Raw genomic sequence first — 1,359 nt, forward strand, 5'->3', positions numbered from 1 at the left:
CTGTTTTCTGTCTAATTGGACTGGGCTCATGACCTACCGTGTAGTCAGACTCAAAACACAAGAGAATCAGACCTCTCTGAGAAATTTATTTATTAATTCATTTACTTTTGAGACAGAGTCTCGCTGTCTCACCCAGGCTGGAGTGCAGTGGCACGGTCATGGCTCACGGAAGCCTCAACCTCCTGGGCCCAATTGACCTTCCCACCTTAGCCTCTCGAGTAGCTGGAACCACAGGCATGCACCACCACGCCTGGCTAATTTTTGTATTTTTTTTTGTAGAGACGGAGTTTCAACATGTTACCCAGGCTGGTCTTGAACTCCTGGCCTCAAGTGATCTGCCTGCCTTAGCCTCAGCCTCTCAAAGTGCTGGGATTACAGGCATGAGCCACCACATCCGGCCTCTTTCAGAAATTTAAACTTGAAGAACTGAAACAATCGAAGGCAAGCAGGGGGTAGCTGAATCCAGTAGTGGAAAGGGGGAAATTGAAGGGCAGATTCCGTAGTCTAAGAGTTCGTGACTCTATGTCAAGCACAGGCTTGGCCCACTGTTGATGTTCAATACGTATTTGTTGTTGAATGAATGAGCGGAAGGATTTGATGATAGCCGACCTCTCTCTTCTTTCTCCGTCCAGGGTGCCTCCCCCTTCTGGTAGCAGCATCCCCATTCCTTTGGGAGCCTGCCTAGAATGTTAATTCTAGCTGGGGGAATTCTAATTGCAATTCTAAAATGTAATTCTAGCAAGGGGAAGGCAGGTTCCCGAAGAAATGGGAAACAGGTTCACTCCATATGGATTGACACTGCCTACCTGAACCACCTGAATTAAGAAGTGTGGTATCCTCAGCTCTTGAGGCTCCCCATGATGTGACACTAGTGTCCTTTTCTGCTTCTATGCTCACACTCCTCCTTGGCTTCTTTCCCTTCCCTGGATGTCCGCTTTTCTGTTTTTTGTTTTGTTTTGTTTTGTTTTGACACAGAGTCTCACTGTGTTGCCCAGGCTGGAGTGCAGTGGCGAGATCTTGGCTCACTGCAACCTCTGCCTCCTGGGTTCAAGCAATTCTTGTGCCTCAGCCTCCCAAGTAGCTGGGATTACAGGTGCCCACAACCATGCCCAGCTTATTTTTGCATTTTTAGTAGAGACGGGTTGTCACCACATTGGCCAGGCTGGTCTCCAACTCCTAGCCTCAAGTGATCCGCCTGCCTCTGCCTCCCAGAGTGCTGGGATTATAGCCGTGAGCCACCGTGCCCAGCCCTAATTCTCTACCTTTTGTCTGTGTGAGCTTGGGAAAGTTAATTAACCTCTCTGAGCCTCAGTTTCCTTAGCTGTGAAATGGGGATAAAAGTGAGATAACACCCACAAA

At 48.5% G+C, this 1,359-nt stretch overlaps 1 annotated feature.

Moving 5' to 3' along the window:
• Positions 226-275: an enhancer, noted in NCBI's record as "active region_7092". NCBI's record gives its function as "activates an Ori minimal core promoter by ATAC-STARR-seq in GM12878 lymphoblastoid cells {active_cell/tissue: GM12878}" and the evidence as "EXISTENCE:reporter gene assay evidence [ECO:0000049][PMID:35858748]".

The sequence above is a fragment of the Homo sapiens genome, chromosome 12, assembly GCF_000001405.40.
Source record: "Homo sapiens chromosome 12, GRCh38.p14 Primary Assembly".
NCBI classification, from domain to species: Eukaryota; Metazoa; Chordata; class Mammalia; order Primates; family Hominidae; genus Homo; species Homo sapiens.